Source organism: Homo sapiens, chromosome 5 (genome assembly GCF_000001405.40).
Source record: "Homo sapiens chromosome 5, GRCh38.p14 Primary Assembly".
NCBI lineage: Eukaryota > Metazoa > Chordata > Mammalia > Primates > Hominidae > Homo > Homo sapiens.
Window position 1 is genome coordinate 13,828,813 of NC_000005.10, and position 21,140 is coordinate 13,849,952.

The following is a 21,140-nucleotide window of genomic DNA, read 5'->3' on the forward strand; positions in this document are numbered from 1 at the left end:
GAGCATCAGATGAAACCACAGCCCCAGCCAATACTTTGATTGTAGCCTTGTTAGACACAAACCACAGGACTCATTTCAGCTAACTCCTGACCCACAGACACCATGTAGTAATAAATGTACGTTGTTACAAGACACAAAGTTTGTGGTATGATTGTTAGATGACTATTATGCAGCAATAGATAACTAATGCAGAACTATATGTTTAATTCCATGACTTTTAACTATGAAACCTCATGATGCCTGAACCTGGTACCCTAAACAATCGAGGAAACTAGCAAGAAGGCTGCAACATATAAACAAGACAGTTAGTAAACCTTGGTCAAATACTCAAGTGAGCTTAGAATGAAGAAGAATAAATCATTGGGAGGTTCCTACAAATCATGAAAATACATAACACATATAACAATGAATCTATAAGTGGTATAAACAGCCAATGTTAATATCCATAAGTCTTTGGCTCTTAAACCAGTGCAGATAATATTCACTTCATTTCTATGCTGTAAATATTAATTTATTTAAATGTACTTCTTAAAAAACTATGCATATAAAATTATTTTTGTAGTAATACACCTTTCTACTCAGTGTCAATAAAATCCTTTGTCAACAAGCCCAGTCTAGAATTTCTCAAAATGAGAACATTCTGCTGAATAGAAAAATGAAACATGCCTAAGTGCATAAGACCTCCAGGATGACACACCTGCTTAGAAAGCTGCTCCTCACACAGTTTGTAGAGCGTGAAAAACTTCCTGGCCAAAACAACGTTGTCAATGAAGCCACAACTAGCCAACTTCACCCTTATGATAATCTGACGGTCAGGCACCATCATGGCCACTGAGCGGAAATTAATCTTCAAGTTTTCAGGGAGTTCCTGCCGTCCGGCATAGCCAGGATTCTAAACAGAAAATAAAGCCCAAGGATGAATGATGCAATCAAGCACACATCAGCATCATATTAAAAGATTCATTATGTACACACAACAAATCTGGAATGACAACCAGGGAACTCATTTACGTATCTCAATCTCGTTTTACCTGGACAGGCTAAGTCATGAGCTATTCATATGATCTTTGCTTAACACCAAAAGGTTTTCAAAAGGAGGTAAAGTTACAATCCCAATTTCCATTCAGGAAAACAGATGACATATGACCAGGGAGATGCATGAAAATTGTGATAAGAAGGCTGAAATTCAGTAGCTTTTCTAGCAGCTCCTTACCATGGTTAAGAAAAGCCCAAATTCAGGGTTCATAGTCACATTATCTCCATCAGTAAAGATAAAAGACTTTTTGTGCTCCTTTTTACATGTCAGAATAATGGAAATTTGCTGGGCTGCAACCGAGAGAACTGGTAGATCAATACGGTTAAATTCATCAAAACAACCCCAGGATCCAGACTGTGCCAGTCCTTCGAAAGGAAATTAAATGAAAAATCCAATTAGTATATAATTTTAGAAAACCAAGAAAAAGGATATTATGTAGCTGCTAAAATGAGCCAGATGTAAGTTCATTCAAAAGTAAAGTGCAACAAATAGATCTATGCATCAAGTGACCCAAAACAGCTTACAATTTGGCACTTCACCTGTAAACACCCAAGATAAAGGAATATCAAAAAAAAGTCAGGAGGAAGTAACATTTGGTCCACACAACCTGGCAAGATTGAAGATTTTCCAAAAAATTTTACAAAGTTGAAAATGATTCTAAAATGTGGCCAATTGTTGAAAACAAATTTTAGCAAAATATTCCACCTTGGCTGCAATTTCTCACCAGATTAAAAAATATAACCCATACCCTTAAAAATCCGTCCAAGTCCTCGGAAATCCATCTGGTCTGAACAATTGAAAACCACGACGTATTTCCCGAGGCATCGTCCCATGTCTTTAGTGGTTTCTGTTTTGCCTGTGCCTGCAGGTCCAGCAGGGGCTCCCCCCATGCTCATTCCCAGAGCTTGAGCCAGCGTGATGTAACATCTGCATGGGTAGAAACATCACTAGAACCAGCCCTCAGTCACCTGGAAATACTTCTGAGACATCACAGTGGCATGAAACGCACACAAGATTAAAAAACAAAAGGCCATTGTCCCTACCTAACATTTCGAATACAACATCCTAAAACACACTTATCCTTATCAATGTTAACATATGTTGAGGAAAAGGAGGGGGTAGTCTATGATCAACTAAGTTTAAAAACTCCTTAAAAGGTTAAACAGGTTTCTTTACTGCTGAATTTTTCAGGCTTTCTTATCATAATATGCAGAGAGAATCTCCAGGTATAAAAATAATACATTGCATTTCCAAAATGTATTTGGCAACATTTTCGCAGAAATCTACCCCCATCTAAAATGTATATATTCTGTGAAACAGATCGGGATCCTTTCAAATAGATTAATCCCCTTTTGAATCTAAGAGTTGGCCATTTGATGTAGTTGGGATTTAAAACACACACTGCTAAATAATCACACCTTGAATCTATTTCTGTGAGTATCTACTAACCTTGCACATGCTTTCAATTGCATCTTACTATATGAGATTAACAAATAAAAGATTTGGTGAGAGAATACAAGAATGCCTGCAAAGGAAAATTTTTCACCTGATAACTTGCAGATCAATTACTTGTTTGCCAGCACCACCTGGTGTTACCAAAGGAGACAAATTATAAAGTGGTGCCGTGTAGGGTTTTCTTATGGCCAAACTATAAAGCATTCATCCGGACTTGAAAAAGACTTCCAAGGAAATGAAGTGACTATCCAGCCTGAGCAGTGGAAATGAACACTGAGTGCACCAGCTGGGGGTGGTTCCAGGTTCTCAATGTTACTGGAAACGAGTGCTATAAAGGCAAGTAAATGACTCAGCCCTTAATGTATGCAGAGTCTGGATACAGAGGAAAAGATCTGGTCATGAAATCAGGAGAATGCCTGCTCTCACTTTGACTCTGCCTTTTAACCCAAGGTATTATTTCTCCTGTTGCATTTTTGCCATCCCTTCCAAAGCAGAGTCTGTAACAACAACAGACACCACAGTGTGCTCCACATGCATCATCTCGTTTCATCCCCAGAGAACCCTGGAAGGAAGCTACTGTTCCTTTCCCCCACTGTACAGAGATAAGGAAAAAGGCCACAGAGATTGAGTGACTTTTCTCAGGACTGCGGCAGGACAGCTGAGACAAGCCAAGTCTTCTCACTTTCCAGCTCTGGGACAAGCCCACTCTATCCGGGAAAGAAAAATAACTAATGGGCACTAGGCTTGATACCTGGGCAATGAAATAATCTATATAACAAACCTCTATGACACAAGTTTACCTATGTAACAAACCCGCACATGTACCCCTGAACTTAAAAATTAAAAACTGAAAAAAAAAGATTAAATAAAATACCAAACACAAAAAAGGGAATACATCTCCATCAACTCTGATCACTCGGCTGCTGTGTTATGCAGACCCTCGTTACAACTGAGATCACTGGGTTTATATTTAAACTGAACAAGTAGCAAGTTGCTTCAAACAGATCAATCCTATTTACATGAAAAGCAGGTGGGCATGCCTGGAGACTTCTCCCTGGCTCAGCTAGGTGGGGCTTCAGACCCACTGCTACACTGGTGCCCAAACTGCCTTTCGGTGACAAGCATGGATCTGTCACAGCATCTCCCTGTGTGTCTAGAGAATTCTACATGTGAGTGTATCTCCCTTCTTGCCTCCCTTCTCTGCTTTCCTTTCTAGTCTATCTATTGGCTATTTTCAAAACCGTTTCCATTCATGAACAGGGTTTGAACTTTATGTGTTTTAGTTGCCTGTGGTCAACTCCATTTTAGTTTTCTAACCTTCAGTTAAACTGCTATAAACTCTCTGCGGTCAGGAGCTAGGTTTGGTTCACACTTGTACCCTCAACTACTTGCCTAACCCCTGGCACCTTGTACTATATGAACATTGGTTGAATAAATGGCTTGCGCTGATCCAGTCATTCATTCTTATCTGGTCCCTCCTGTCCCAACAGCTACAGGAATTAGAGATGCAGAATGTGACCCTGATGCCAAATGAAAAGCAACCAACCCCATGACCCCAGGGCTCATTAGCACTCGAACTAACCAAATCTATCACCAGCATTCATCGTAACTATTCATAGCACTGTCAGTGCATTTTGTCACAGGTAAACCAGAAATGGTTTCAACTCCTATTGGTTCTAAACTGCTGAAAAGTTTCCTAAGAAACAATGGTACGTGCATCAGCAGAGTACATTTCTTCCTTGAGAACTTGGTTTAGTTACAGACTCTTTGATTATAGGGCATGTTTAAGGAGAAACCAAAGACAAGGTTGCTAAAGAATGTGTTATCCAAAAAAAAAAAAGAATGTGTTAACATAGGCCAAGCACAGTGGCTCATGCCTGTAATCTCAGCACTTTGGGAGGCCGAGGCGGATGGATCACGAGGTCAGGAGTTCAAGACCAGCCTGGCCAATATGGCAAAATTCCATCTCTACTAAAAATACAAAAATTAGCTGGATGTGGCGGCACACGCCTGTAATCCAAGCTACTCAGGAGGCTGAGGCAGGAGAACCACTTGAACCTGGGAGGCAGAGGTTGCAGTGAGCCGAGATCACGCCACTGCACTCCAGCCTGGGCAACAGAGTGAGTGAGACTCCTTCCCAAAAAAAAAAAAAAAGTGTTATCAGCAATTTTGACAAGCAACAGTGATAGCAAGAATAATAATAATAATAACAAACATTTGCTGTGTCACGCCCTGTGCTGGGTACTTACGTTGCCTCTAGTCCACACAATGATTCCCAAACAAGGGAATGAGGGAGGTTAGGTGTCTTGTCCAACACTACACAGCTGCTAGGGGCAGAGCTGAGCAGTCAGCACTCAGGCAACACTCACAGAAGCTGTGGGAATGTCAGAGAAAGGTACAAGTCCTGTCTACATTTCTTATCAAGCAGATAAGATGCCTCCATCAGCCCTCAATTTCTTCTGCCTTCTGCTTAAGTGACAGCAGTAGTCAGGACAATTCTAGTCTTCATTAAAAACACTACGAGTTTTGGAGAAAAGTGCTGTATGTTATCATATTATAATAGCTATTTTATCATCTGAAATGTCTGCAACTCTGTCCACATGGCATTGAGCTTCCCAGAATCCAGGGAGCTGCCCCAGCTGTTAAATTCACAGGTCAGTCAGTGAAGGGCTGACAACATGTCAGTGCCTCCAGCATTTGACTTTTTAAAAGTACTAATTTCAATGAGGAGTTTTCTCTTGCAAAAGGGAAGCAAATCTTGCAGTGGAATCTCAGTTACTATCGAAAATTAATAACTCACTTCCCACATAATCAAGTTGGTTAAAGAAAAATAAACAAATGGGCATTTAGGGTAAACAGACAAACTTCAGAATCCCTTTACTTACATACTTGAAAATACTTATTTTGCTTTTAAAGTTCTCAGTTTTTTAATATAAAAAAAATACAAGACAATGAACACAGTGGAAGAATCAAATTGCAGAAAAGACTGTAAACTATGATACCTATATGTGAAACTGAAAAAGGATTTTAATGTCTAAGCATCCACAGTTTTCAGAGGGATAGAAAATAAACTGTTGATCATTTTTAAAAATAGAAAAGTTTTCCCTCCCACACATGCTACTTCATGTTCTTCTGTACCATGTAAATTTTTCACCATTAAGATGCAATTTTGGAAATAATCACTTCTTTCATTTATTCAAGAACTATTTATTTAGCATCTGTTATGTGACAGAACAATTCTAGCAAACAAATCACATGAAGCCCACGCACCAAGGATAAGAGGGTTATGAGATTTGGAGATTGCGGGAGGTCGGGAGACCCTCTGAGGTGACTCTCTAGCAGGGGACTAAAGGAAGAAGGAAGCAAGCTATGCCACTATTGAAGGAAGAGGGTGCCAGGCCAAGTGTATAATGAGGGCAAGGGCCCTGTGGCAGGGCTGCGCCACAGCTGTGCAAGGAGCAGGTGGCCTGAGCTGAATGAGGATAGAGAAACAGAGAAGTAGCAGAGGCCAGATTGTACCAGGCCTCACAGGCCCACGTGAGGACGTTGGCTTTTACTTTGCATGAGAAGGAACCATGGGAGAAGTTTTGGGGCAAAGGATCTGACTTACATTCTGGTGTCTGAACTGAGAACAGACTGTACGAGGACAACGACAGAGGCAGGGAAGCCAGTTAAAACATTGTCAGAAGGATGCAGGTCAGGATAAGAGTAGTAATGATTCCTATAATCCCAGCACTTTGGGAGGCTGAGGAGGGCAGATCACCTGAGGTCAAGAGTTCAAGAACACCCTGGCCAACACGGTGAAACCCCGCATCTACTAAAAATACAAAAATTATCCAGGCATGATGGCACGCACCTGTAGTCCCAGCTACTCAGGAGGCTGAGGCAGGAGAATCACTTGAACCTGGGAGGTTGCGGTGAGCGGAGATCGCACCACTGTGATCCAGCCTGGGCGACAGAGTGAGACTTCTTCTCAAAAAAAAAAAATAGTAGTAATGATATAGAAATAACTGTAGGCAGATAGAGAGGGTAAAAGGAGTCCTCGGTAAGGTTTGTTTCTTTTAATAAAAGTAGCTCCCGAAACATTTCTTTTCTAACAGAAAAGCAGCTTAAAGAGCCAGGCCGGCAAGCTTTGATATGCAAATGCTGGTGATTAGAAACTGGGTCCATCCAACAGGGCAATTCCCACCCTCTTCTCCTTGTCACCACGTGCGCCAAGCATCATGGCTGCCTCCAGATAACTCCATGTGTGCAGGACATCATTGCGATCTGCATTTACATATTAAAAGGCTGGGGTTGGAGGGCCAGTTTTTTCGAGGGCTACATGAATGACACACCTGGTCAAACCAAAACCCTAAGCCCTATGCAAATCAGACACCGCCTCCTCCAGCCTCCTAATATAACCTACTGTTTTCCCCTGTTTACGTGGTTTTTCTCTCTCTGCTCGGAGCACCCCTCCCTCTGTCTCTGTACTGGGGAGCTTTTTCCTTCTTTCTTGCCTATTTAACTTTCCACCCCATGAAACGACTCCATGTGTGTCCGTAGCGTTTATCTAATCGGCACAAGGCAAAGGACCCTGCTGTTCCTCCAGTCATCGGAGCCATACCAGTAAGGCAAAGGGGTGAAAATGGTCACATTCTAGAAGGAACCTGAAAGCACTGCTGACCAAATTGAAGGTAGATTATTGGAAAATGAGGTGAGAGAGAAGGAAGGGCTTCAGGGTTACTCCAGGGAGTGTTGGATTGCCCATTTGGAGGTGATGTATTCACAGGCTTCAGGGGTTCGGACATGGACATCTTTTGGGGGCCATTATACTTACTATCACACTTCCCCCCAGCATTCTGATAAAATGGAATGGCCAACTTGCTAAAATGAAGACAACAGCAGGAGGGCACTTTTGTGAGGCTGATCAAACACGCTAAGGTTAAATATACTGTAAGCAACCAACAGACATGTCACATAGGCAAATAGGTATGTGTGTCTGGAGTTTGGGAGAGAAGCCCTGGTTTGAGGCAGAGTTTGGGGTTTTTGAAGCCATGTGGGATCACCTAAAGAATGAGTAGAGGTGGAGAAGAGAAGAGCCTGGCAGTTCTATGTTTAAAGGTCAGAAACATGAAGAGGAACGAGTAGGAGCAGGTACAAAGGGACATCCAGACCACTGGGAGGAACCAGGTGAGTGTGGTGTCCTGGAAGCCATGTGATGAAAGTGTATCAAAAAGGAGAGAATGATCAACTGCTCCCATGCAGCTGATTGCTCAAGAAAGACGAGATCCAGGAAAAAACACTGGATTTAGCAAGAGGTCTGGGTGACTTTCAGGAGAGCTGTTTTATCAGAGTGATGCGGAAAGTATGACAAAATAATGGTCCCCCCAAAATACGTTCTAATCTCTGCAACCTGCAATCTGTAAACATCTTACCTTCCACAGCTAATGGGACTTTGCAGATGTCATTAATGTTAAGGACCTTGAGAAGAGGGAATTATGTTGGATAATAAAGTGGACTCAACCTAATCTCATGAGTCCTTAAAAGCAGAAGAGATAGGTAGAAGAGTGGGTCAGAGACACAAGACAGAAGAAGGAGGGGAGATTCAAAGCACGAAAGGCACCTGACCCACCACTGCTGGCTTTGAAGATGAGGGAAGGAGTCAGGATCAAGGAACGTGGTAGCCTTCAGAGGCTGGAACAGCCCTGAGCTGACCTAAGACAATGGGGACCTGGGTCCTTCAACCAGGAGGAAAGGAATTCTGCCAACAACTTGGAAGAGCGGGAAACAGAACTCAGTCTCTGGGAAGAAACACAGCCCTGCAGACACCTGATTACAATCCCGTGAGACCCACGTCAGACTTCTGATGGACAGAACTACAAAAAGAACACATTTGTGTGGTTCAAGCTTCTAAATTTATGGCAATTTGTTATGGCAGCAATACAAAGTTAGCAGAGAGCCTGAATGAAGTGAGTTGAAGAAAAACAAGGTGGAGAGAAACTGTGCTTTTGAGGGGTTTTGAAGGGAGCATGGAGTGGGAAGGAAACCAGGACAATCACGGTAGGGTTCGCTGGGTAGAAGCAATCTCAGCATATTTGTGTGTTGATGAAAAGGATTCAGTAGAAAGTGAAAATGGATGTTGCTTCCAGAGAGGAAATCCTGGAGTCAGTGGGGGTGTTGGCTTTGGACAGCGAACCTGGAGAGAAAGCAGCTGCATGAGAACAGGCACCCAGGTTAACGCACATGGTGGTGGAGATGAATGCGTCTATCTTCTCAAAAAAAAAAACATGAAATAAGGCCTTCGGTGGAGACAGAGGAAGACAAGGAAGTGCTGGAGACTTGAAAGGCAGAAGACATAAAATAACCACATAAGCATTTTATGAGAAATTCCTATTTGGGAACTCCACTTTTTTTTTTTTTTTTTTTTTTTTTTTTGAGACGGAGTTTTGCTCTGTCACCCAGGCTGGAGTGCGGTGGCATGATCTTGTCTCACTGCAACCTCCGCCTCGGGTTCAAGTGATTCTCCTGCCTCAGCCTCCCGAGTAGCCGGGACTATGGCCACGTGCCACCATGCCTGGCTAATTTTTTGTATTTTTAGTAGACACAAGGTTTCACCGTGTTAGCCTGGATGGTCCCCATCTCCTGACCTTGTGTTCCACCCACTTCGGCCTCCCAAAGCGCTGGGATTACAAGCGTGAGCGAGCCACCATGCCCAGTCCATTTTTTTAATGAACATTATTTCTAATGGGCAAATCGTCATTGTATATTATTGTGGGGCACAATGTGATGTTATGTTATATGAATACAATATGGAATGATTAACGCAAGCCATTTGACAATAATGAGCATTCAGTGCATACCTGAAGCGAAAATATACAATGTAGTTGATATTACAAAGTTCAAATTAGACTAAGCAAATCACAGAATATTAGCCCTGCAAGCACCCTTAGAGACAACATAGCTCAGGGTCCCCAGCCCCCAGGCCACAGACCAGTATTGGAGCTGAATGAGGACAGAGTATTGGTCCATGGTCTGTTAGGAACCGGGCCACACAGCAGGAGGTGGGCGGCGGGCAAGTGAGAGAAGCTTCATCTCTATTTATAGCCACTCCCATGGCTCACATAACCGCCTGAGCTCTGCCTCCTGTCATATCAGCGGCAGTATTCTCATAGGAGCACAACCTTTATTATGAACTGCACGTGAACCCTATCGTGAGCTGTGCATGTGAGGGATCTAGGTTGCCCACTCCTTACAAGAATCTAATGCCTGATGATCTGTCACTGTCTCCCATCACCCCCAGATGGGACTGTCTAGTTGCAGAAAAACACACTCGGGGCTCTCACTGATTCTAAATTATAGTGAATTGTATAATTATCTCATTATCCATTACAATGTAATAATAGAAATAAAGTGCACAATAAATGGAATGAGCTTGAATCAACCCGAAACCATCACCCACCCCCTGGTCTGTAGAAAAATTGTCTTCCACGAGACCAATCCCTGGTGCCAGAAAGGCTGGGGACCACTGGCTTAGCTCATCTTACAAATGAGGGGACTGAATCTAGGGAGGTTGCAGTGGCAGGTGTCACTAACACAACTTGTAAATAGCAGGCCAAGGGAAGAGTTAACACTCTGGAGGCCTTTCCAGTGCCCTCTCCCAACTTTTACCTGCATTGATACTCAATTTCTTTCCTGCTTAAAAAAAAAAAAAAGAAAATCTTAATTGTCTCCCAGTAAGAACAGATACTCAAGCAGCCCCCGCAAGGCCCACTGTGATTTGCACCTGACAACACACAAAAATTAATTCCCTTTCTTGCCCATTCTCTGTCCACACAGTGTTTACACATTTAAACTCTGCCTCTATAAGACTGAAGGCAAAGGAAGCAAGGTCTGTGTCAGTCACAAACCTAAATCCCATGTGAAAAGAAAGCTGATAATAAAGCTAAAAATACTAAATTTCAAAGGTTTTAGTATAAAGAGCCTATAAACCCTAAGAGACTTTAAGCAAAAATCCCCTGAGCAACTCGAGAGAATAAAAATGGTGGGGGTTGGGGAGAAGGGTTCCATCACCTGTCTGTAAGTGGAGTTATTACAAGCCTGTCAGTGCAGCCTAAAAATTCATTCTGGTATATGAACGCCACATCTGTGATGTGAATCATCATCTTGTCAGAATCTTCGTTAAAGTAAAATCTGCACTGTTTCAGCCACTCAAAGTCCATGGGACTCTTGATATGCATATGACACTGAAATTCAAAAGGTATATGTTAGAGCTCTGATGAGAATCACTCATTAAATATACACGTTATTAGCATTCATGTAGATCATAAAGTGAAATAAATGAAACTCACAGACAACCGAACTATTTCACAGGTGTCAACTGTATCACCAGCCAAGCTATTCATTTATTGATCAGTAAAAAAGAAACTAGAAGATATAGGAATAAGAAAACTCAAGTGAAACCCCTAATTATGCCTCTCCAATTTAAGTGCCTTTACGTATTTTAATAATAAGATATTAATTTCTTAAATTTCACCCTGACATGCCTAATGCCATAGTCCTCACCATGAAATATAATCTATGAAAAGCATGTTTTGACACACAAAGACAGCAATAAACAATCTCATTAGGAAAAAGACATCTCTTAAGACTATAACAAAGTACGCTGTTGGGGTTTTTTAATCCAGTAATTATTTTTCCCAAGAATTACATCGGGCCAAAATTTCTAACATCTAAATGACAGGCCATTGCCTGGAAATGCTTTTGTCCAGATTTTTTAACCAAAATTTTAAGCCACTTTCATCATTTTCTTTGACAAAGAAGAAATCTAAAATTAGCCTGAGCCCTTTATTCCTCGGAAAGGTAAGTAGTGTGCTTAACTATTAAGACAGGAGATTAGCACACAATAGCTTTGATGTGCTGCCTTTACTTCCATTATATCAGGACCAATCTTTCATAATCTTTTTTACATAATGGGATGAGACAAATCCAGAAAATTATTATGAGAATAAGAGCTTTTTGCCTCTAATTTATTTTATAGTAGAGGACAAATTTCACTTTTTATTTCCCATTTTCTATAGCTACACAACTCTCTTTTCCCACCTTGTTCTCTATTTAAAAGCAAAAATGTGTAACACCTGAATGTCAGAAGCTCTATTAGGAAAGGCCATTTGCAATCAATGACATAAAATGTAGCAAAACTTGTTAAGAATGTGATTTTTCAAAAGGCTTAAGGGAAGTCCTAAACAGCTCTACTAAGCAATATTACTAATAATTTTCATAGCAAGAAACTGGTGATCTTCAATTAATAGGTAAAAAGCGAAAAAGATGTATGAAGGCTTTTCAGATGCTACATGACAATTTTAACATTAAAAATCATCACGTTAAAACATTTTTGAATAAAGTCTAATTGCCTCAATAACATCTTAGCATAGATCATCAGAATATGACTTACGTTCAGTTAAGACTGAAAAGAAAGCTGATAAGCTCTGATTACAAACATGATTCTTTGCCAGAATTTAATTTTTTCCTTGAATTCAATCAAACTAGTTCTACTGGGTAAATGCAGATAGTGTCTAGAATTTGTTTTTCTCTACATGCCACAGCATTTATAAAGAATTTACCAGGTCATCAAAGATATCCCTTTGGTGCACATGAATAGTAATCAGAGTCTCGTATTTCACTCGTTCCGTGGAACTCAGATCCCTCGTGGTGACGTCTATCAATGTATTGAGTAGCTCCAGGAAAGCCTGATTAGTTTTCTGCATGATTTTTTTATCAAACTTGGCATTTCTAAGGGCTTCTTCTGAATCCCGTGTCCATATCATCTGAATTCCTAATAATCCAACCTTATGGAAATAAAAAAGGCTTCATGAATTTGTATGGCATATTTATGTATTTAAATAGAAATACAATGTGATCAACAGCTGTGATTGTTACACAAGTGTAAAGCCATGATTACATCAACTTTGATACCTTTTTTCATAACCTATGGAAATTCTATTTCTTATCATTTTGAGTCATTTATGTTGAAGTCACGTTTCTCATTGTTTCCTGTATTTTAATGCTGAATCTATTTTTCTTTTTTTAGTAAAGTGTTCAATCAGTACATTTTCATGATTTTTGTACATTGTTACATCAAAAGATTGATTAGGGAAAAAACCGTTTTAAATTAAAGACAATACATCAAATATATCTATAACCCAAATACACATTTAAGTCTATAGATATATGACCATATAATCTGTAGTTAAAATCTGAAAGGTTAAGTATATTTAATGGGTCCTTATGAAAATCTTAATACTGGTCTAGAGTTAAATTATAGCCATTTTTGAAGCTTACAATAGGTAATGTCTGAGACTTAAAATGACTATTTTACAAAACATACTTTCAAATTTCAATACACTGACCTGAGCAGGGAAGGATGAAAGAAATTCAGTTAGTTGGAAACCTGTTTCTTGAATATTTGCGGCTGCCTGGCGAATCACAAGATGCAATGAGGACTGAGATTCTTCCAAAAGAGAATTAAGCCAAACTTCCACATTGCCCTCTGCCATGACAGGTTTATCCAATTCAATCGTCTCACCCTCTTGAGAGGAAATTGACAGAATTCGATCATAGATCTATGTTAGAAACCAAAAAAAAAAAAAAAAAAAGCTATAGTCATATAAAAAGTAAAAACTAATTATTGACTTGTCCTTCCCAAAGAAAGTAAAGCTACAGATTATAAAATACTGTAAAAGCCAAATATAAACTACTTCAAAACAATAAAAAAAAAAGCCATGAAATCTAAAAGGCAATACAAAATCAATTCCAGGCCAGGCACAGTGGCTCACACCTGTAATCCCAGCACTTTGGGAGGCCGCTCTAGGTGGATCACCTGAGGTCTGGAGTTCAAGACCAGCCCGGGCAATATGGTGAAACCCTGTCTCTACTAAAAATACAAAAATTAGCTGGGCATGGTGGTGGGCGCCTATAATCCCAGCTAATTGAGAGGCTGAGGCACGAGAATCACTTGAACACAGGAGGCGGAGGTTGCAGTGAGCCGAGATCATGCCATTGCACTCCAGGCTGGGCAACAAGAGCGAGACTCCGTCTCAAAAAAAGAAAGAAAGAAACAGAGCGAGAAAGAAAAGAAAAGAAAAGAAAGAAAGAAAGAAAGAAAGAAAGAAAGAAAGAAAGAAAGAAAGAAAGAAAGAAAGAGAAAGAAAAGAAAGAAAGAAAGAAAAAGAAAGAAATCAATTCCAAATAAACCATACTGTAAGGGGGGAAACTTATTTTTAAAAGAAATATTTAATACAAATATGATGATTTTTAAAATCTCTAAAGTTTCTCAGATGAAATGAGGCTTCTAAAACCTAAAGTGCTGTACTAAGTCCTCCTTAGCTGTAGACAGACGTGATCTACCAAAAAGCTAATGAGGCTTCAGTTTCAGGGCCCCTCACTTACACAGACCCTTTCCAAGGTCCTGAATATGAATTTGTATTTATAATTTTACAAGATTTAGCACCCACACAACCAAAATCTGCCCCCGATTGTAGAAACCTTATGGCAGGAGCAACAAAAAACAAAAGCAACGCGATCTTAAGAAACAGCTGCTAAGAACAAAGGCTAAAAGTCTGTGGGCATTTAATTCACAAAAGGGAGCTACACAGTAAATAAGATACTGAAAGACACTTAAATTATCTTCCATACAACTTGAGACAGTGAGAAGCTTTGCTCCTGGGCCATGATGTCCTAGTGCCATGGCAGAGGATTTAAGCGAAACATCAGAAAGAATTTTCTGATGAATTTAGTCCCTTCTTTCAACCCACACATCCCATAAAACAACAAGAAACATTGATTTTTGAACCATTAAAATCCATCCTGTTTTCCTTCCTCTCTGTCCCCTCTAACAAAGCCTTGTTACAGCTGTTCAGCCTTTTTTATCCTGATTTTGCAATGGCTTCTTACATTGATTTCCTTGCCCCCTTTCATTCCGCCTCCTACACTGTACCAGAGAATGTTTCTGAAACACAAATCAGGTCACTGCCCTGCTTAAACACCTCCCATGGCTTTTTATCATGTTCAGGATGAAGCTGAATTCCGTAATGTAATGCACCTGGCCTTTGGAATCCTGCCCATCCCCCTTCTCTCTTTGCTCATGGCTCCCTGTTGTGGGTTGAATTGTGTCTCTCAAAAAGATATACTGAAGTCCTAAGCCCTGATACCTGTGAATGTGACATTATTTGGGAATAGCATCTTTGCAGATGTGATCAATTTAAGATGTGGTCACCTCTAGCCTCCAGAACTTTGAGAGAATACATTTCTGTTGTTTTAAGCCACAGCAGCCCTAGGAAACTAATACACTCCCTCACACATCCACGCTGCTGACATCCTGGGCTTCCCACACTTCCGAGCGCCCACACCTCCCTTGCACATGCTCTTCTTCTGACCTGACCATACTTCCCTTCTTCACCTGCAAGGTTATATTCTACTTACCTTCAAAACATCAGTGCAAATTTATATTCTGCAGAAAGCCCTCCCGGACACCCCCATACAACCAGGTTCCCTGATGGGCATTCTCACGTTCTTTGTGCTTAATGAAGCACAATAATAACAATTCAAGTCCAAAATTATCAGCAATTTAATTGTCCAATTTCTCTTGAGTGTAGTACATAAAACTGACTTCAGCGTTGATCATGATACACCCTTCCTGGGAACCCCAGGCCAGCATCATGACTCTCAGACAGCAAGGAGCTTGACCTTAACAAGTGGCTTTTAATTGCTTCGAATGGAATAGCTCTAACACTCCCTAACTGGGCTCTGAAGGCTACTTGTTTACTTCCCTGTCTCCTCCACCACAGCACAAGTTCATGGAAGGTTAGCGTATTCCCAGTGTTAAGCATGACATCTGGAACATGGTAGTTGCTCAATAAATGTAACACCACATGCTAGGATGAAGAAATGGATGTTACTAGGGGTTTGTATGAAGCACCAGAGGGAAACTGAATACAATATCTAACAAGAAGAGTCACTTTCCTAGGGAATTTGGGTGGAGGGATGGATTAGACAATAGATTTCCGCAGCTGTGCAAGTGTAGTCTCCGTCAAGTTAAATGACCTATCGTGAGTCTCATGCAGCTTCATGATTCTGTACACATGGAAGTGTTAAAAAAACAAAAAAAGTTTGAATAAAGTATGCCAAAACCAGATTAAAACAATTACATCATGAGGGCAATTCCGTTTAGTTAAGACGCTATTTTATGAACAGCTGGTTTTTCATCTTGTTGGATTTCTTACTAGTTAACTTGGTGTGTAAAATCATGAATGCTACATAAATGCCTTCTTAATCCTAAACTAGCATTTTTTTTAATTTGAATCTACACTTTGGATAGTAAGAAATTACACAGTTCTGAAGGTAAATTGGGCCCCGAGATTTGTTTTTAGTCACTGGCCAAGAGCTAATGAACAGGGAAGCAACCCTTGTTATAAACCCGTTTTCGAAGAGCTACTTAAAGACAGTTGAGGTTCGAAGGTACGGTGATTGTTGGCCTGCCATTAGAATTAGGCGAACCTTTTCGTGGAACTTGACAGATTTAATGTTGTCAAACACATTCAGCAAATGGGCCTGTATAGTGTGGGAGTCCGACGCCTGCCCCAGAATCTCTAGAAGGGCAGGATCTGAGACGAAGAAAAACCGAGGAAAGCACAGTCGTTTTTTCTCCAAGTACCTACAAGGAGAGGAAAAACATAAACCTTTATAACCACACAAAGCTGGTCGTTCAAGGAATAAATTAACCTGGATGGGAAAAGGGGAGAAGATTGTGTGACTTGTGACAATCTGATTTTCCTACGTGACTTCTCACTGTTTTTAATTTTTCAATTTTTTAAGAATGTTTTCAAATAACATTCCACATTCTGATGGAGAAATAATTTTTTCCCAAAATTGGTGGCAGAATTCCCTCATTTTTCACAACTATAATGTACACATTTTGCACAGTCTGGAAAATCTTGTATATACTAGGTAGAGAGTCAGATAAAAACACTATGTAGAGAGTAAGATAAAAACACTATGTAGAGAGTAAGATAAAAACACACCCAGGCAGGTTTTGGTTTTGGGTTTGGGTTTCCAAGCCCAGCACTGTGCCATCTAAAAGCTCCCTACAATACTTGAAATTGTGACTTAAAAGAGAATCCAATGAATTCGTCATCCAAGCAGAAGCAAAACCCAGCTGTGACGAGCTCCATGGAAAAGCTGTGGCACTCGTCTCTGCTTCCAGGAGTTTCCAAAATCCACTGAATGTTCCCGATCACTGACTTGCTTTCAGCCGAGCTTTCATTTCTATATTTGCTTTCTGTTATGGTCATTCCTGATGTTATGGATATGTGTATTCTGTTGTTTTCTTAACTATAGCTCTCTATCTTCATTTTCTAGCATATTTTGTTATAATTATGATGCTTTTAATTGTACTTCTTTTTTAAACTTTACCAGCTTTTTAATTTTTATTTTTTTTAATTTTTGCTCTTCCCTTATCATTTGTATTAGTATTCATTTTAGCCTTTTTTGACCTTTTTTTTTTTTTTTTTAGACAGAGTCTCAGTCTATCACCAGGGCTGGAGTGCAGTGGCATGACCTTGGCTCACTGCGACCTCCACTTCCCGGGTTCAAGTGTTTCTCCTGCTTCAGCCTCCGAAGTGGCTGGAACTACAGGCCTGTGCCACCACGCCCAGCTAATATTTTTTTTTTTTTTTTTTTAGTAGAGATGGGATTTCACCATGTTAGCCAGGCTAGTCTCTAACTCGTGACCTCAAATGATCCATCTGCCTCAACCTCCCAAAGTGCTGAGATTACAGGCATGAGCCACCACACCTGGCCCCAACTTTTTATTTTAGGTTCAGGGGTTCATGTGCAGGTTTGTTATACAGGTAAACTGCATGTTGGGAGGTTGGTGTACAGATTATTCCACACCCAGGTAATAAGCATAGTACCTGATAGGTAGTTTTCCAATCCTCACCCTCCTGCCACCTCCACCCTCAAGTAGACCCCAGTGTTTGTTGTTCACTTCTTTGTGAACATTGTATTATTTCCTGTGTAAAATTATAAGGAAACATTTCTGTTTCATAACAGCAGAATTCACTTTCTAGGAAAAATCAAGTCTTTACTAGAGGATTACTTGGATCAGAAACCGGAGCCTGATGGCAACCTCCCAGGGCATGCGTGCGGAGTGCTGGACAGTTCACGATTCGTCAACTGCTGGACTCGTTTTGCTGAGTGGGGTGTCCAGGCTGAGGACAAATCTGAGCTACATTCCTCAAGACAAAGGAGGGCACTCATTGAGAAAAAGGCAAAGAAAAGAAGGAGATACAAAGAGAGGGTCATGCTAAGTAAGGAATTTGGGAAAGAAATGGACATGTGTACAGGGATGATCATGGATAAGCCTGGGCATGTGGGTTGAAATCATTCTATCCAGCTCTCACAGGATCCTCAGTAAAACAAGCTCTTGCAGCGATGGGATTTGTTCACTTTGGACATGAGACAGCCTGGAGAGTCTATTTTCTTCTATTCCCCCTCACTTTCTTAAAGTCTTACTTAAATGTTTATAATGTTTACTTTTGTTTTAGCTAAAAAACTAAACTTTTCTCAGTTTAAAACTACTAATTCTGTTATTTCAAATATCCCAATCCTTATTTGAATAACTGTGATGTGTTTGTTATCCTCCTTACAGTAGCCCGGTCTGATTCTGGTGAGGAATTGGGTCATGTTTTCTGTCCCGTTAGACCAGTATGGAAGGAGGCTGTGGTGTGTGACAGCCAAACTCCTGAGACGGTATAGAGAAGATACCTTATCTTCACGGACACAGTCTGATTACCGCAACTCCGATTACGATCTGATCTGTGTGAAGACCCTTCCTGTCCATGCTGATCCTCGACAGCTTGGGAGGGTGTTGTTTTTGTATAAATATGATTTCTCAAATGTCTATACAAGGCTTACATATATTGCTTATAACCTCTTCTGGGTAACAAAATCAAAAGACAGGGAAAGCTCAGTTAAAAAAAAAAGTGTGAACAATTTTAGAGTAGACATTTTCTCTGCAGGGGTTATAAAATAATGCCAAAATGTTGGGTGACAGAATAGAATATGTTCATAGAAAAAAGAAAGAATAAAAAAAAAGAAAAATAGGCCAGGCACAGTGACTCACACCTGTAAGCACTTTGAGAGGCCGAGGAGGGTGGATGACCTGACATCAGGAGTTTGAGACCAGCCTGGCCACCATGGTGAAACCTCGTCTCTACTAAAAAAAATGCCAAAAAATAGCTGGGCATGGTGGCATGCCCCTGTATTCCCAGCTACTCAAGAGGCTAAGGTGGGAGAATCACTTGAACCTGGGAGGCGGAGGCTGCAGTGGGCTGAGATTGCACCACTGCACTCCAGCCTGGGCAAAAGAGTGAGACCTCATCTCAAAAAAAAAAAAAGGAGAAAAAAAAAATAAAGGGGGGATTTCGCATGTGTGTGTGTGTGTCTGTCTGTCTGTCTGTGGTGGTGGGTGGAAGATGAGGAAGGGAGAGAAAAGCAATAAACTCAGCTGTAGGTAGTCCAGTAGACAGTTCCTCGGCAAGTGTTTTAGTGGTAACTGAACCTGCATGATGTCTTAGTGGTCCCTGCCCCTCAGTCCTTCCATGTTGAAGAACCTCCAGAGCAGGGAAACTTTCAGAAACCCTTTTCTCGTTCTCTCTGACCTGATCCTGGTGTTAGGCACAGAGCATTCCTGCTGGGTCTATATCCAAGAACTGTTTAGTGGTGCCTGAACTGCATTTGGTCATGCTAAATAATTATTAGGCTAAATGGAATGGCGCAGCATCAATCATTAGACAACAATCTTTTTGTCCTTCAACAGTTACTTGACTTGATCTAATAATTTTATAAGGGAGATCAACTCATTAATCCCTAAGACTCCATTTTTCTAAATCTTTATGTTAGAAGAATTACTTGCAAATGGTTTTGCTTTAAAGTAAACAAAGGGTGCTTTACTGACGTTGGCGTTGGCTATGGCCATGGTGTTTAAAAAGCCTCCTTAGGTTTATGGTGATACTCTATGGCAGCAGTCCTCAACTTTTTGCCACCAGGGACCAATTTCATGGAAGACCAGTTTTCAATTTTTCCATAGACCAGGGGTGGGAGTAGTTTCAGGATGATTCAAGCGCATTATATTTACTGTGTACTTCACTTCTATTATTATTGTGCACTTATATTTCTATTATTATTACATAATGAAATAATTCTACAACTCACCATAACGTAGAATCAGTGAGAGCCCTCAGCTTGTTTTCCTGCAACTAAATGGTCCCATCTGGAGATGATGGGAAACAGTGACCAATCATCAGGCATTAGATTCTCACAAGGAGTACGCAACCTAGATCCCTCGCATGTGCAGTTCAGAATAGGGTGTATGCGCAGTTCACAATAGGGCTTGCACTACTATGAGACCCTAATGTTGCTGCTGATCTCACAGGAGGCAGAGCTCAGGTGATATTGCGAGTGATGAGGAGCGGCTGTAAATACAAATGAACCTTCGCTCACTCACCTGCTACTCACCTTCTGCTGTGCAGCCCTGTTCCTAACAGGCCACAGACTGGTGCCGAGGTTTGGGGACCCCTGCTCTATAGCATAGGCCTTTGAAACACCCATCACCTAAATTAGAGTAAACTTGCAAATATTTGCTACAGAAAATCTTGGCCCTACCTCTAGCTTCAAGGTAGTGGGGTGGACAACCATGTACGCATGGTTTTGTTTAGACTTTTTTTTATATACTTTAAGTTTTAGGGTACATGTGCACAACGTGCAGGTTAGTTACATACGTTTAGACTCTTCAACTTTCCTAAAAGTCCACAAACTTCCACATCTCCCCAGCTGTATGCTGAAGCCTGTGAATTTGTCCTTAACCAGCAGTGCAGACTCCCTGTCCTCTGCATTCTTGTCAGGGTTTACATCTCTCACGTTTTATGCTGCCCAATACCTTCCACCAACGTGGATATGAAAGTAATATTCATGGAGGATTCATTGAAATGTATGCGGTGATTCCATTCCCTTAGTTCCCTGAATGAAGCCATTCCATTAGAGAGGCTCATGTTTGACTCATGCTGTGATAAGAAAGCAGATGGAGACTCCGCTCTGGGTTCCTTTTAATAGGATACACAATAGAAATTCCTCCAAATTACCAATTTGAGGACAACAAAACGTAATGTCTCCCCAGGTAACTTTTATTCTATGAATCCTATGAACCTATCATATGCCACCCTTTACCTTGGAACCTAGGAAGGATCTTTGCTCTATAAATCTAAGGTCCATTTGTAGTTTTTCTCTGCACCAATTTTACCCTCTGAGCTTATTAGCCCTTTTTGTCCTTTGACCTTAACTTTCTCATGCATTGTTATTTTCCAGCAGCCGTCTCAAATTTTTTTTTGGTTAGCCGAGAATAAATAAGTAATCCACATTGCTTACAAGTACCCTCTTACAGGTCTTTTTTCCATTTTTAGCATAGTCACTTTTTTTGTTCAATTTTAATAAACTCCTCTCTTTATTTCATCGAGATCCTGCCAAAGCACCATTTGAAGCCCAGTATTTAAGCCATCAACTGCATCTATGAGGGCAGCCTGGCTTAGATGACCTGAGTCCCGCAGTGCACAGGACA

At 40.7% G+C, this 21,140-nt stretch overlaps 1 protein-coding gene across 15 annotated transcripts in view; it reads right to left on the reverse strand.

Moving 5' to 3' along the window:
* Positions 1–21,140, reverse strand: part of DNAH5 (dynein axonemal heavy chain 5) — a 321,491-nt gene that overhangs the window by 138,485 nt on the left and 161,866 nt on the right. For 13 of the 15 annotated variants that reach the window (XR_001742034.2, XR_001742035.2, XM_017009177.2 and 10 more), the window contains 7 exons: positions 16,025–16,181; positions 12,880–13,092; positions 12,094–12,318; positions 10,544–10,716; positions 1,785–1,963; positions 1,214–1,401; positions 698–892 (listed from right to left, as the gene is read on the reverse strand). Coding sequence is in view for 13 of the 15 variants with exons in the window: in XM_017009177.2 (XP_016864666.1) it covers positions 698–892; positions 1,214–1,401; positions 1,785–1,963; positions 10,544–10,716; positions 12,094–12,318; positions 12,880–13,092; positions 16,025–16,181 (1,330 nt within the window). In the remaining 2 variants the exon portion in view is untranslated. Of the gene's footprint in view, positions 1–697; positions 893–1,213; positions 1,402–1,784; positions 1,964–4,740; positions 6,277–10,543; positions 10,717–12,093; positions 12,319–12,879; positions 13,093–16,024; positions 16,182–21,140 lie in introns of those variants that run through there. The other 2 variants (XM_017009186.2, XM_017009188.2) reach the window with 2 other exon arrangements.